The sequence below is a fragment of the Homo sapiens genome, chromosome 18 (genome assembly GCF_000001405.40).
Source record: "Homo sapiens chromosome 18, GRCh38.p14 Primary Assembly".
Classification (NCBI taxonomy): domain Eukaryota; kingdom Metazoa; phylum Chordata; class Mammalia; order Primates; family Hominidae; genus Homo; species Homo sapiens.
The window spans coordinates 2,783,036-2,797,314 of NC_000018.10; the positions used below are offsets into that span (position 1 = coordinate 2,783,036).

Genomic DNA, 14,279 nt, shown 5'->3' on the forward strand with positions numbered 1-14,279 from the left:
CAGAGACTATTTAGCCCCAATATTAGGTTGGACTACGTTTTTATACTTGTTAAAAATTAGTGTTTTTCTTCATTCATTAATATATGTATACTATTTCATTGTATGGATGTGCCGTAATTTACTTGTATAACTTGTTGAGACATGTAAGTTTACTACTTTTCATTATTAAAACAATATTTCCGTATACATCGTTCACATCTGTTACTATTTTTTCCTGATTAGATTCTTAGAATTGCTGAATCGTGCAGAATGTTAAACTTTTTAACACTTGTCCCATTTCCTTTGAGAAGGGCTGTCCCAGGGCATATCAGTACAAGAAGGCCCTTTTTCCATAGCCCCCCACCAAAGTTGTGTGTGTGTGTGCATTTTAACATATTGAGTAGTAAAAATATCTTATTTGAATTCCACGTCTCTGGTTACCAATGAAGTTTAACTTTTATTTTTTAATATTTTCTGAACCTTTTTTGCAAGAACATTCTTCTAGATTATGACGTACTAAATCCAGTATTTTTCCTTTATTCTGACTTCTCTGAAGAATTTCTTTCTTTTTTTTTTTCTGAGACAGAGTCTCCTGTTGCCCAGGCTGGAGTGCAGTGGTGCGATCTCAGCTCACTGCAACCTCCGCCTCCTGGATTCAAGCGATTCTCCTGCCTCAGCCTCCTGAGTAGCTGGGATTACAGGCACGTGCCACCATGCCCAGCTAATTTTTGTGTTTTTAGTAGAGATGAGGTTTCAACATGTTGGTCAGGCTGGTCTCGAACTCCTGACCTCGTGATCTGCCCACCTTGGCCTCCCAAAGTGCTGGGATTACAGGTGTGAGCCACCACACCTGACATTAAGAATTTAATTCTTAATTAACCCTTCATCTTTTCCCATCCATGACTTCAGTTTTTCTACATTATTTCAGTTCCCCTAACTCTCAAATTATCACCTCTTTATCTTCCCATACCTAAAACCATAGTATTATCTTTGGAAGAGTCAGTCTAGTGCTTTCCAGTCTGTATTTTCTTCAATGTAATATTCTCCTTTTGCTATCCTTTGGTCATCTAAAAAACTTAAATCTAACAGAGGAAACTGGGTTGGTGATGCTACCTTGATACTTAACTGCCATGGGTTCCAAAGCACAGAACTCTCTGGCCTGTCCTCTTCCTTCCACTTATCAATCCATCATTTACTTTTTTCACTTGCGTTGTCACTGTTCTAGTTTAGGCTGACATTTGAAAAGTTGTCTAATTCATCTCTCTGCCTCTGGATTTTTCCCTCCAGTTTATCTTACATATTGCTAGTTACTAAGTTTTTGAAAATACTACTGTGATCCTGTCATTTCTAATCTCAGAAACTTTAAATTATTTCTCCTTTTTTGGAGCAGTTGAAATAAGTTGCTCACTACTTACTATTCACTTATTTACAATAGGTTGTTAAAATTACACACTGTCCTACACTGCTGACCAGAGATGGAGATCGAATTCGAAGTAATGGAAAGTTTGGGGGCCTTCAGAATAAAGCTCCTCCAATGGATAAACTTCGGGGAATGGTATTTGGAGCTCCAGTTCCAAAACAGTGTCTGATCTTAGGGGAACAAATAGGTAAGTTGAATAAGTACTTAAATAGCAATTTCTAATTTAATTTTACTCTTATTTTTCTAAGAGCTTATGTTTTGAGAATCTAACATGAAAAATTAACAAATGTAAGTAAGTAACAAATGTAAGTAAGATGTTTTTGTCTACTACTTTCAGCTTTTTTATATCAGGTAGTTTAGAGTTATGTAAATAGTAGCTTTATCCTTTGTATTTTCATTCTTATATGTAGTGCATGCCTGTGTTCCCAGCTACTCAGGAGGCTAAGACAAGAGTGTCGCTTGAGCCCAGGAGTTTGAGGTCAGCCTGGGCAACGTAGCAAGACTCCATCTCTTAAAAAAAAAAAAAGAAGAAATTTCTGTCATTATTGAATAAGTCAGTATTTTATTACATAATCATAATACTTATTTCTATCTTGAAATTTGTAACTATCTAGAACAATTAAGGCTTATTAGAAAGTGTATGACATGTGATCTCCTGCCCCTTTTTCCCTTCCACAGGCTGTGTCCCTTTGCATCTAATTAGCCAATATAATTGTCCCTGCACGTCTGTGCTCTGAAGTGCATATACTTACCAGGAAGTCTCCTTACCATCCATTAGCTTAGAGCCTATTTGCTCTTAATTTATATAATTAATTCTGATACACTCAACTCTACTTTCCTAACACAGAGCAGTTTGTTGTTAACTTTCTTTTAATTGAAAAATACATATAACATAAAATTTACCATCTTAACCATTTTTAAGAGTACAGTTTGGCCGGGCTCGATGGCTCACGCCTGTAATCCCAGCACTTTGGGAGGCCGAGGTAGGCGGATCATGAGGTCAGGAGATCGAGCCCATCTTGGCTAACACAGTGAAACCCTGTCTCTACTAAAAATACAAAAAAAAAATTAGCTGGGCGTGGTGACACGCACCTGTAGTCCCAGCTACTTGGGAGACTGAGGTAGGAGAATCATTTGAACCCAGGAGGTGGAGGTTACAGTGAGCTGAGATTGCACCACTGCACTCCAGCCTGGGCAACAGAGACTCTGTCTCAAAAAAAAAAAAAAAAAAAAAAAACAGTTCATTGGTGTTAAGTGCATTCACATTGTTGTTCATTCTATCTCCAGAACTGTTTTCGGTATGCACAGTTGAAACTTTGTATAAACTCTCCATTGTCCATTCCCTGACACCCATTATACTTCTTTCTGTCTCTCTGAATGTGACTTCTAGATACTTCATATAAGTAGAATCATACAGAGTTTGTCCTTTTGTGACTGGCTAATTTCACTTGGCATAATGTCCTCAGGTCTGTCCATGTTGTAATAAGTGTTAGAATGTCCTTCCTTTGTAAGGCTGAATAATATATATTTCACTGTATCTATTTGCAACGTTTTGTTTACTTTTATTTACTTTTTTCTTATTTTTTATTTTTTATTTTTTTGAGATAGTCTGACTGTCACCTAGGCTGGAGTGCAGTGGCACAATCTCAGCTCACTGCAACCTCGGTCTCCCGGGATCAAGCAATGTTTGTGCCTCAGCCACCCAAGTTGCTGGGATTACAGACATGCGCCACCACACCTGGCAAACTTTTGTATCTTTAGTAGAGATGGGGTTTGAACTCCTGGCCTTAAGTGATCCACCTTCCTTGGCCTCCCAAAGTGCTGGAATTACAGGCGTGAGGCACCGTGTCTGGCCACTTTGTTTGCTTTTATTAAAGTAAAATACACATAGAAAAATGTGCATATTTTGTGAACATTCAGCTTGATGGATCTTCACAACATGAACACTGCACTTATATTAAAAAATAGAACATTAGGCTGGGCTTGGTGGCTCACACCTGTAATCCCAGCACTTTGGGAGGGCAAGGCAGGCGGATCACCTGAGGTCAGGAGTTCAAGACTAGCCCGGCCAACATGGTAAAACCCCATCTTTACTAAAAATACAAAAATTAGCTGGGCGTGGTGGTGGGTGCCTGTTGTCCCAGCTACTCACGAAGCTCAGGCAGGACCATCACTTGAGCCTGGGAGGCAGAGGTTGCAGTGAGCCGAGATTGTGCCATTGCACTCCAGTCTGGGTGACAAGAGCAAAACTCCATATAAAAAAAAGAAAAAGAAACACCAGTACTGTAGAAGATTTCTTTTTGGCTCCTCCACTCCCTACCACCACTCCATACTCAAAGGATAACAACTTTCTTGACTTATAGTAGCTTAGATTAATTTTGCCCATTTTAGTACTTTATATACTTGGTATTGTGCGGTGCGTACTTTTTTATATGTCTAGTTTTGTTCAACACTATGCATGTAGTTCATTTTCATTGCAGGATAATACTTCATTGTGTGAATGAAATGTACAATTTATTTATTCTACTGTTGAGGAATTTGAGCAGTGTCTTAGTCTGTTTTGTGTTGTTATAAAGGAATACCTGAAGCTGGGTGATTTATAAAGAAAAAGATACTTAATTTGGCATACACTTCTTCTGGCTGAAAAGTTCAAGATTGGGCATCTGCATCTGGTGAGGGCGTCAGGCTGCTTCCTATCACAGTAGATGAAGAGCTGGCATGTGCAAAGATCACATCTCAAGAAAGGAAGCAAAAGGGAAGGGGAGGGAAGGTGCCAGGCTCTTTAAACAACCAGCTTTTAGGAACAGAGCAAGAATTCACTCACTCCCAAGGGATGGCACTAATCTATTCATGAGGGATCTGCCCTCATGACCCCAACATTAGGCCTCACCTCCCAACACCACCATACCAGGGATCAAATTTTAACATGAGCTTTGGTGGGGACAAACCAACCATAGCAGGTAATTTCCATTTGGGGCTATCAGTTCAGCCTCAGAAGTTTTTTAATTAGTAGTTGAGAAAGGTGGTGGGAAGAGGAGTCATACTTCTGTTTATGACATCAGTGGACACATACAGTCTCTACAATGAGTGAATATCTAAAGAAACTGATAAGAAATCAGAGAAAACATTTTAATCAAAGTCAGTGAATTAATGTAAAAGGCCTAGACTCTATACCTAAGCATTTTATGGCAGTAGTTCCCAAAACCAGAAAGAATTACCTGTGGAACTTAAAAAATACACAGATGTCATATTTAATAGTTGCTTAGCTTTCTTGACAAATATATTCAAAGATACACTCCCACATACAGACTAATGATTCATTGATAAGAACTCAAAGGAGACCGTTTAAGGTTACTAATATATATAAAGTACTTTTGATTGTAAGCAATAGCAGCCATGCATGACTACTTTAAGCCAAACAGGAATCTATTGGAAGGAAACTGGAAGAAATCACAGATTTAAAGGAGATGGAAACAGCCAAGACAAAGTCAAAGATAACTCTGGGACAGTCAGCAGCCTTGGGCTCCATATACCTTCACCCTAAAGTTTTAATATAACTTAACTCCCACCAGTCCTAGGAGAGAGAAATGCCCACCACCTTCCAGGTCAGCCAGACTTAGTAAGGATCAAATAAAGCAAACAGTTTTGGAGACCCTCCCCTGGGTATCATGGAATCATTCTCAGAGCAAAAGCAATTTTGAGGAAGGCCATCACCATAAAAATTGTCAACTGCTAGCACAGTTATAAGCAAAGTATTTGTTTTCTAAATAATTTGCCTATACGTTGTCTTGCATGATTAGTATAAGAGCAAATCAGAGCATAAGAAAAAAAAATTACTGGACATTTACATATTATAAAATATTACGTTGCAGACACCCTGTTAAGGTTGTCACATGAATGATCGTATTTACTGCTGTTATCTTCATTTTATAGATGAAGAAGTTGAGGTTCAAAAAGGTTAGATAGCTTTCTCATGTTTAGAACAGTGTGTGTATTCGTTAGCACATTGAAAAAAGTAGAAAGAAATATACTTTTAATTCTGGGTTATATAATTGGGATAATTTTCTCCATTATCCCTTTCTATATATTTTTCCAGACTTGCCTCAGTGAGCATTGTATCACTTTTATAATCAGAAAAATTTACTTATTGTTTTTAATATTCATTTATTTTATTTTATTTTACTTTTTGAGACAGAGTCTCGCTCTGTTGCCCAAGATGGAGTGCAGTGGCTTGATCTAATTGCAACCTCCACCTCCCAGGTTCAAGTGATTCTTGTGCTTCAGCCTCCCAAGTGCTGGGATTACAGGTGCACGCCTCCATACCCAGCTAATTTTTATATTTTTGTAGAGATGGGGTTTCACCATGTTGGCCGGGCTGGTCTCGAACTCCTGCCCTCAAGTGATCTGCCCACTTAAGCCTCCCAAAGTGCTAGGATTACAATGTGAGCCACCTCCCCTGGCCAAATTAATATTCTTTTAATGTATAATTGATCTTCTAGGAAACATGCCTAAGCAAACAATCCTAACTACAGACAAGGCATTGTTTTATTCAAATGAATATCACAGCTTTGTTTTTCTTTTTTTGTTTGTTTGTTTGTTTTTTGAGACAGGGTCTCACTTTGTTGCCCAGGCTGGAGTGCAGTGGCACAATCATGGCTCACCATAGCCTTCTAACTTCCTGGGATCAGGTGATCCTCCCACCTTAGCCTTTCGAATAGCTGGGACTACAGGCTTGTGCTACCACACTGGCTAATTTTTTTGTATTATTATTATTTTTTTTTTTTTTTGGTAGACATGGGGTTTTGCCATGTTGCTTAGCTGGTCTCAAACTCCTGGTCCCAGGCGATCTGCCTGCCTTGGCCTCTCAGAGTGCTAGGGATTACAGGTGTAAGTCACTCTGCCTGGCTACAGCCTTGTTTTTCAAGTAAAACATAGAAATGTTAAATCCTTTAATTGAATTTGTAATCTGGAGAATGTCTGTGTCAAGGCTAAGTGGAAGGTGAATAAAAATACAAATATCACACGTTAAAAATTAAACCTTTAAACCTGTGGAATGAAAAGAAAAAAGTGAGAGAGTAGACCTGTTTTTTTCTCCCCCCACCATTTCTTGTTTCCTATACAGACTTAGGATGTTTCAGCTTACATTTTTCAACTTCACAGTAGTGTGAAACCAATACACATTCAGTATGCTTCTCAACTTATAATGGGGCTGTGTCTGGATAAACTCTTAATAAGTTGAGAATATCATAAGTTGGAAGCGCACTCTCAACTTTTACAATATTTTCAAGTTATGATGGGTTTATTGGGACATAACTTCATCGTAAGTTGAGGAGCATCTGTATTATTTCAAGTGTTCTGTAGAGATCTTGGGAATAGAAATACTTTTAAAATGCAAAGGAAATAACTAAGGACACTGTAGAAGCCAGAATGTAGACAGAAGAGAAAAAGAGATGTTAATAATAACTCAGGCTGGGCGTGGTGGCTCACGCCTGTAATCCCAACACTTTGGGAGGCCGAGGCGGGTGGATCACGAGGTCAGGAGATTGAGACCAGCCTGGCCAACGTGGTGAAACCCCGTCTCTACTAAAAATAAAAAAAGTTAGCTGGGCATGGTGGACGTGCCTGTAGTCCCAGCTATTCAGGAGGCTGAGGCCGGAGAATTGCTTGAACCCAGGAGGCGGAGCTTGCAGTGAGCCGACATCGCGCCACTGCACTCCAGCCTGGGCAACAGAGCGAGACTTTGTCTCAAAAATAAATAAAATAATAACTCAAGAAAAGCATCTTATCATAATCAATAAGTAATTGCATAAGTCCCCCCTCCCCTGCAGTTTTGCTTTCTACAAATTCAATTACCCGAAGTCAATGACAGTCCAAAATAGGTGAGTGCAGTACAATAAGATACTTTGAGAGGGAAAGACCACGTTCATATAGCTTTATTACAGTATATTTTTATTCTGTTTTATTGTTGTTGTTAATCTACTATGCCTAACTTATAAATTAAAATTTATCATAGGCTGGTATGTATAGGACAAAACACAGTATAGGCCGGACACGGTGGCTCAGGCCTGTAATCCCAGCACTCTGGGAGGCCAAGGTGGGTGGATCACCTGAGGTCAGGAATTCAAGACCAGCCTGGCCAAAATGGTGAAACCCCATCTCTACTAAAAATACAAAAAATTAGCTGGGCGTAGTGGCACACACCTGTAATCCCAATTACTTGGGAGGCTGAGACAAGAGAATTGCTTGAACCCAGGAGGCAGAGGTTGCAGTAAGCCAAGATTGCACCACTGCACTGCTGTCTGGGCAACAGAGCGAGATTCCATCTCAAAAAACAAAATACCACAGTACAGGTAGAAGAAAATAATTCAAATGTCCCTAGCATAAAGAAAAAATATTAAGATGAGGGATATCCCAATTATCTTTATCTAAGTATCAGAATATCACATGTGCCCTGAAAATGTGTACATCTGTCATATATCAATTTTAAAAATGAAAAACAAAGTCATAAGAATTGGAAAGGAAATAAAATGGTAACTATTTGTAGATTGTGTAACAGTATACCTATAAAACCCAAGGTAATCAAAGATGAAAATTAAAAGAATTTATTAAGGGAGAAAGTTATAAAATTAGCATACAAAAATAATAGCATTCATATAATCTTACAGTAAGCAGTTAGAAGATATAATGGGAGAGGAAAAAAGTCATATACAAGAACAACAAGAATAAGTTTTAAAAGGTGTTTCTGCAGCTAAACATGTTGATCCTTAAATACAAAGAAAAATAAATATGAATGAATACCTAAGAACAGAGACTTCTGCTTCTCACCAAGATGGAATAACTTACATCAAACAAACCAAAGAAAAAAACCACTGAGGCCAGGCACAGTGGCTCACGCCTATAATCCCAGCACTTTGGGAGACCAAGATGGGCGGATTGCTTGAGACCAGCCTGGGCAATACAGTGACACCTAATCTCTACAGAAAATAAAATAATTAGTTGGGCCTGGTGGCTCGCTCCTTTAGTCCCACTTCTTTGGGAGGCTGAGGTTGCTGTGAGCCGTGATTGAGCTACTACTGCATTCCAGCCTGGGTGGCAGAGTGAGGCTCTGTCTCAAAAAAACAAAGCACTGAGCAAAATACGTGAAAGAATAGTTTTCAAGACTTTGGATATGAAGCAGTAAAGAATGGTGATTCCTGAGAAATAGGAATCAACCGAAGTATCCCTGTGGTTGTTTCAGCTTACTGCCTAGAGAGATTTTCCAGACTACGTAAAACAGAAAAGGGGAACCCAGGAGAAGCTCAGTAGTCTCAAAGTTGAGAAGAACAGGTTGGGAGTCCAGGAAGGTCAAGACAACTATAGTTCACAGACAGGTTACTGGGAAGGCAAGAGCTGCTTTAGAGAGTGAGCGAGCTCTAGAAATGCAGTAGGTCTCCCTTCAGTATCCAGCTTAGTACTAATTAGTGCATGCATGTGAGAAGACCACCCAAGGCCAGAAAGAAACACCCTGAAGAGGAAACAGTAGTCAGAACTCTTAGTTTAATTTTATAATAAATCATTTCCAAAATATTTATTGAATTGTAAAATCTGAAACTATACTAACTGCGAGCTGCTATATTCCCAAATATTTCCCGTTATTTGCTCCTTTAAACTTTACCAATAAAGTACAAAAAGAGTTCATAGAGTTAGAAATATTTCTTTACAAATAAAATTTGCTTTTAAAAAAACAGCAATACTGTCATGTGCCGCACAAGGCTGTCAAAAACAGATTGTATGTAAGACAGTGGTCCCATAAGATTATAATGGAGTTGATTACCTTTTCTATGTTTAGATACACAAATGCTTACCATTGTGTTACAGTTACCTACAGTATTTAGTACTGTCAACATGCTGTACAGTTTTGTAGTCTTGGAGCAATGGGCTATACCATATACCCTAGGAGCATTGTAGGTTCTACATACCATGTAGGTTTGTGTAAGTACACTCTGTTGTGTTCACTTAATGACGAAATAACCTAATGAAACATTGCTCAGAGCATATCCCCATCATTAAGCAACACATGACTGCACAGGGTTCAGTAGTATCCACTGGGGGTTTCAGACATCCACTGGGGGTCTTGGAACATGTCCCATGAGGAAAAGGAGGGACTACTGTAATACATAGTTTGTAATCATGACATCATCAAAAGTATTAACATTTTTATTATGTTCATATTCTTCAAAATATTATATATCTGACCAGGTTAGACATTTCTTATACTTTATTGCTTTCATACTTGATTTATTATAATACTGTCAATATTTCAGTCAATTATGATGGTTTTTTAAATAAAGCTATTCTTAATATTTTTATGAATAGTGACGAAGATTAGTTAAGCACTCTGGCTTTCAGGGAAAGGGTGTTTTGTTTTGTTATGGGAATAGAGCAGTGTGATGATCTCTCATGGACCTGTCACCTAGCTTTGATTATTAAAACATAGCCAGTCTTGTTTCATTTATACCCACCCTGTCACAGCTTGCCTCTATCCTCCTCTTCCTGGGTGGGTTATTTGAAGCAAGTCAAAGCAGAGGTTCTGGTGTATTTTTTCTTGTAGTTTTTCCCAGTCATAAGTGCTTATCAGTTTTTTTGCCAATAAGTTTCTTCGAATTATGTGGAGCACAAAGTTTGAAGAGCACTAAATATTATTTAGGAAAGTCTACCTGTGCATCTAACTGCATAAATCCTTCAGTGGTGAGAAAGTTGCTTCAGACTTCTATTAACTCATGTTTGGGAAGTCCTTACACACTTACCTGATAACAGCCTTTCAGATATACTTTCCATCCTTTTGTGGTGTTTCTAGTAGCTTCACATAGTCATTTTCCTGGACATGTTGAAATAACCTATCTTAATATTGTGACTCATTTACATACAAAATAAGTATTATTTTATGTACGTAGAAAACATTGCTTGAGGCCAGGCGCAGTGGCTCATGCCTGTAATCCCAGCACTTTGGGAGGCTGAGGCGGGTGGATCACGAGGTCAGGAGATCAAGACCATCCTGGCTAACACAGTGAAACCCTGTCTCTACTAAAAATACAAAAAAAATCAGCTGGGTGTGGTGGCGGGCGCCTGTAGTCCCAGCCACCTGGGAGGCTGAGGCAGGAGAATGGCGTGAACCCGGGAGGTGGAGCTTGCAGTGAGCCAAGATCGCGCCACTGCACTCCAGCCTGGGCGAGACTCCGTCTCAAAAAAAAAAAAAAAGAAAGAAAACATTGCTTTAATGTGGAATTAGAAATCAGACCAGAATAAAGTTCTCAATAAAGCGTAAGGAACTTAAGGGTCTTGTCGTCACTCAGTTTCACATATAGAATTTGTATTTAAATATGAATATGTTCACAAGCACACACAGATGTGTATATGTAATTTGGTCACTCATTCTAAGTGTAGATTTCTAGAATATTGGGTAGATTTCTTTTTAAAACACTACTCTTGACCCTTAAAGTATAGAATATCTTATGTTATACCTAATGTACTCTGTACTCTTAAGTAATTTCTTCCACAGTTTTACTTATAAACTACTTATATATGTTTAAGTGTTTGAATGTTTATATGTCCATTTCCATGGATATTGATCATCTTGGTGTGTGACTAGAGTCTTATCCAGATGCTAAATGTTTTAGGTTTTGCAAGTCAAGTGGCAAAATCAAGGATGATGTTATGAAGATATTTATATAACTATTTAAAATGTGACCATTTTAAACTGGATAGGCCAGTGGGCTCACTCCTGTAATCCCAGCACTTCGGGAGCCCAAGATGGTTAGATCGCTTAAGCCCAGGAGTTCAAGACCAGCCTGGGCTCAAGCAGTCCGCTCACCTTGGCCTCCCAAAGGTCGAACAGCATAGTGAAACCCCGTCTCTAAAAAAATTAGATAGGTGTGCTGGCCAATTTGCCTGTAATCCGAGCTATTGCCTGTAATCCGAGCTATTCACGAGGCTAAGATGGGAGAATCACCTGAGCCCAGGAAGTTGAGGCTGCAGTGAGCAGTGATTATGTCACTGCACTCCATTCTGGGTGACAGAGTGAGACCGTATCTCAAAAAACAAAAACAAAAAACTGAATAAACCATTCTTGGCCAATGAGTGGTAGTGTACTAACCCTTAGCCTAGAGTATAGTTACTATTTAATACTTAGTGTCTAGTAAATCATGGAGACAGGCAATAATCTCAAACCTGAATAATGTAATACTTTTTTGGAATTTCAAAATTTATTTTTATGGCAAGAAGAACACTTGATCATTGTGGAAAAAAATTGGAACATACAGGCAAGCATCATGAATTTTTAAAAGAACTCATAATTCCCAAACCTACAGATTAAACATTGTTAATAATTTATTGTATCACCTTCCAGCCTTTTGTCTATACATGTGGGAGTATATATAGTTTAAAATAAGTTGGATTATTCTAACAATGTTGTTTTATGGTCCTTTTCTATATACTGTTCTGTGGTGGAAATTTTCCCAGGTCATTAATTTGAATAATGTAATACATTTTTAGACAAAGTAATTTAAGAAAAGTTAAGTTTTTTGAAAGTGAAGTATTTTTCTGAGTGTGTTTTTAAAAAATTCTGGGTTTTTTTTTTGTTTTGTTTTGTTTTTGTTTTTGTTTTTGAGACGGAGTCTCGCTCTGTCACCCAGGCTGAATGGCGCAATCTCAGCTCACTGCAAGCTCTGCTTCCCGGGTTCACGCCATTCTCCTGCCTCAGCCTCCCAAGTGGCTGGGACTACAGGTGCCCGCCACCATGCCCAGCTAATTTTGTTTTTGTATTTTTATTAGAGACGGGGTTTCACCGTGTTAGCCAGGATGGTCTTTATCTCCTGACCTCGTGATCCACCCGCCTTGGAACCTTGCAACGTGCTGGGATTACAGGCGTGAACTGCCATGCCCAGCCTAAAAATTCTGTGTTTAAAAATAATAGTCATGCTTTTTGGAAGCGATGATTTTCTTTTTTTACAGTACAAAAAATAAGAACAATTAATGAGTTGCATTGCTGCCAAGTTTGAACCACAGCATGCTCACTGTCAGTTACACTTACACATCTTTTTATTAGAAACCCCCTGTTACTCATCAGTTTTCATTTGGGAAATAGTGATTTCTAACAACACAATATTTAATGTATTTGCCTTCTCCCTGCAAAATTTGTCCACATGGAATTATATTGAATACTGAATATCAGACAAGATATAAACACTGGCTTGAGAGAGTGATCCAATAAAAAACAGAGCACTTTTATATAGAGAACTCTTCCCTGACACAGAAGTAAACTTAAGTCAAACAAAGAAAATTAAATTTAACAATTTTGTGCTGGGATCTTAACTATGCTTTTTTATTTCATTTGTTTATATTGAATGTTTTATGGCTTTAAAAGTAGATCCCCTATGTTACCATAACACAAATTCCAGTGTTGCTCATTTTTTCCCCTAAAACATGAGTTTGGTTTAATAGCAGTAATTTAATCAAATGCATTTGGTTTCTTTACAGATCTTCTTCAGCAGTATCGTTCTGCTGTGTGCAAACTAGACAGTGTGAATAAGGATCTTAACAGTCAATTAGAGTACCTTCGCACTCCGGATATGAGGAAGAAAAAGCAAGAACTTGATGAACATGAGAAAAATCTCAAACTAATAGAGGAAAAACTAGGTAAGTCTTTGCTTTTTGTTAACTTCTACTTTCTTTATATGGAGATAAATATTTATGATGAGAGAGAATCCAACCGTAAGAAAAAAGAATGCAAATGATTCAGAACTTAACAAAAACTCTTAACCTCCAAGTCCTATCTGATAAATGGTTATAAACTATTCTTTCACCAGAAGTAATAGGCATTCTCAGTATACTTTCTTAATTCTTTTTCTATAAATTATGACATATTCATGTTTGCATTTCTCTAATTCCATTGTTTTTATTGTAAATTTAACTTTCTACATTTTCCATCTTCACAGGTATGACTCCCATACGTAAGTGTAATGACTCATTGCGTCATTCACCAAAGGTTGAGACGACAGATTGTCCAGTTCCTCCTAAAAGAATGAGACGAGAAGCTACAAGACAAAATAGGTGAGTTTGTTTGACCTGAGAATTATGCTTGGTTAGTTTACCAAAGTTCTTGGGTCTCATGATAGCTTTGTTTTTTTGAGATGAAGTCTTGCTCTGTTGCCCAGGCTAGAGTGCAGTGGCACAATCTTGGCTCAGTGCAACCTCTGCCTTCCAGGCCCACGGGATTCTTGTGCCTCAGCCTCCCGAGTAGCTGGCATTACAGGCATGCACCACCATGCTTGGCTAATTTTTTGTATTTTTTTGTAGAGATGGGGTTTCACTGTGTTGGCCAGGCTAATCTCAAACTCCTGACCTCAAGCAGTCTGCCTGTCTTGGCCTCTCAAAGTACTGGGATTACAGGTGTGAGCCACTGCATCTGACTTGGTCATCATACTTTAAAAACAGTATGAGTTCATGTCTAATTCTTCCTTTGAGCCAGAATTAATATTTTAAATTAAAAAAAATAAAGTAATAATGAAGATAAAACTTAAGCATTATGTTTTCTTAGGATACTCAATCTTCTAAATAACTTGTGCTAATTATTTAGAAATGTTTATATTTTATGTTAAAAGTGATTGTTAAGAGTCAAATTGCTTGTCTATTTTTTGGCTCATTGCATTCTCTTTCAGAGGATCAGTAACTTAATAAGTATAGAATATGCAAAACCATTTGTAAATCACTTATTTTAAAATTGCTTATAATTTTTGGTTTGGAGAATCAGATCACCAAACCATTTTGGCCATTTAGATCACCAAAAAACCAACACAGCTATTTCCACCCTAACTTCATAGTAAGAAAACTGTCCCTTTTAGAT

The 14,279-nt window shown here is 38.1% G+C and overlaps 1 protein-coding gene across 7 annotated transcripts in view; it reads left to right on the top strand.

The window, feature by feature from the left end:
• Positions 1–14,279, top strand: part of SMCHD1 (structural maintenance of chromosomes flexible hinge domain containing 1) — a 149,292-nt gene that overhangs the window by 127,310 nt on the left and 7,703 nt on the right. For 5 of the 7 annotated variants that reach the window (XR_001753172.2, XM_011525642.2, NM_015295.3 and 2 more), the window contains 3 exons: positions 1,415–1,586; positions 12,914–13,072; positions 13,372–13,486. Coding sequence is in view for 5 of the 7 variants with exons in the window: in XM_011525642.2 (XP_011523944.1) it covers positions 1,415–1,586; positions 12,914–13,072; positions 13,372–13,486 (446 nt within the window). In the remaining 2 variants the exon portion in view is untranslated. Of the gene's footprint in view, positions 1–1,414; positions 1,587–12,913; positions 13,073–13,371; positions 13,487–14,279 lie in introns of those variants that run through there. The other 2 variants (XR_935055.3, XM_047437426.1) reach the window with 2 other exon arrangements.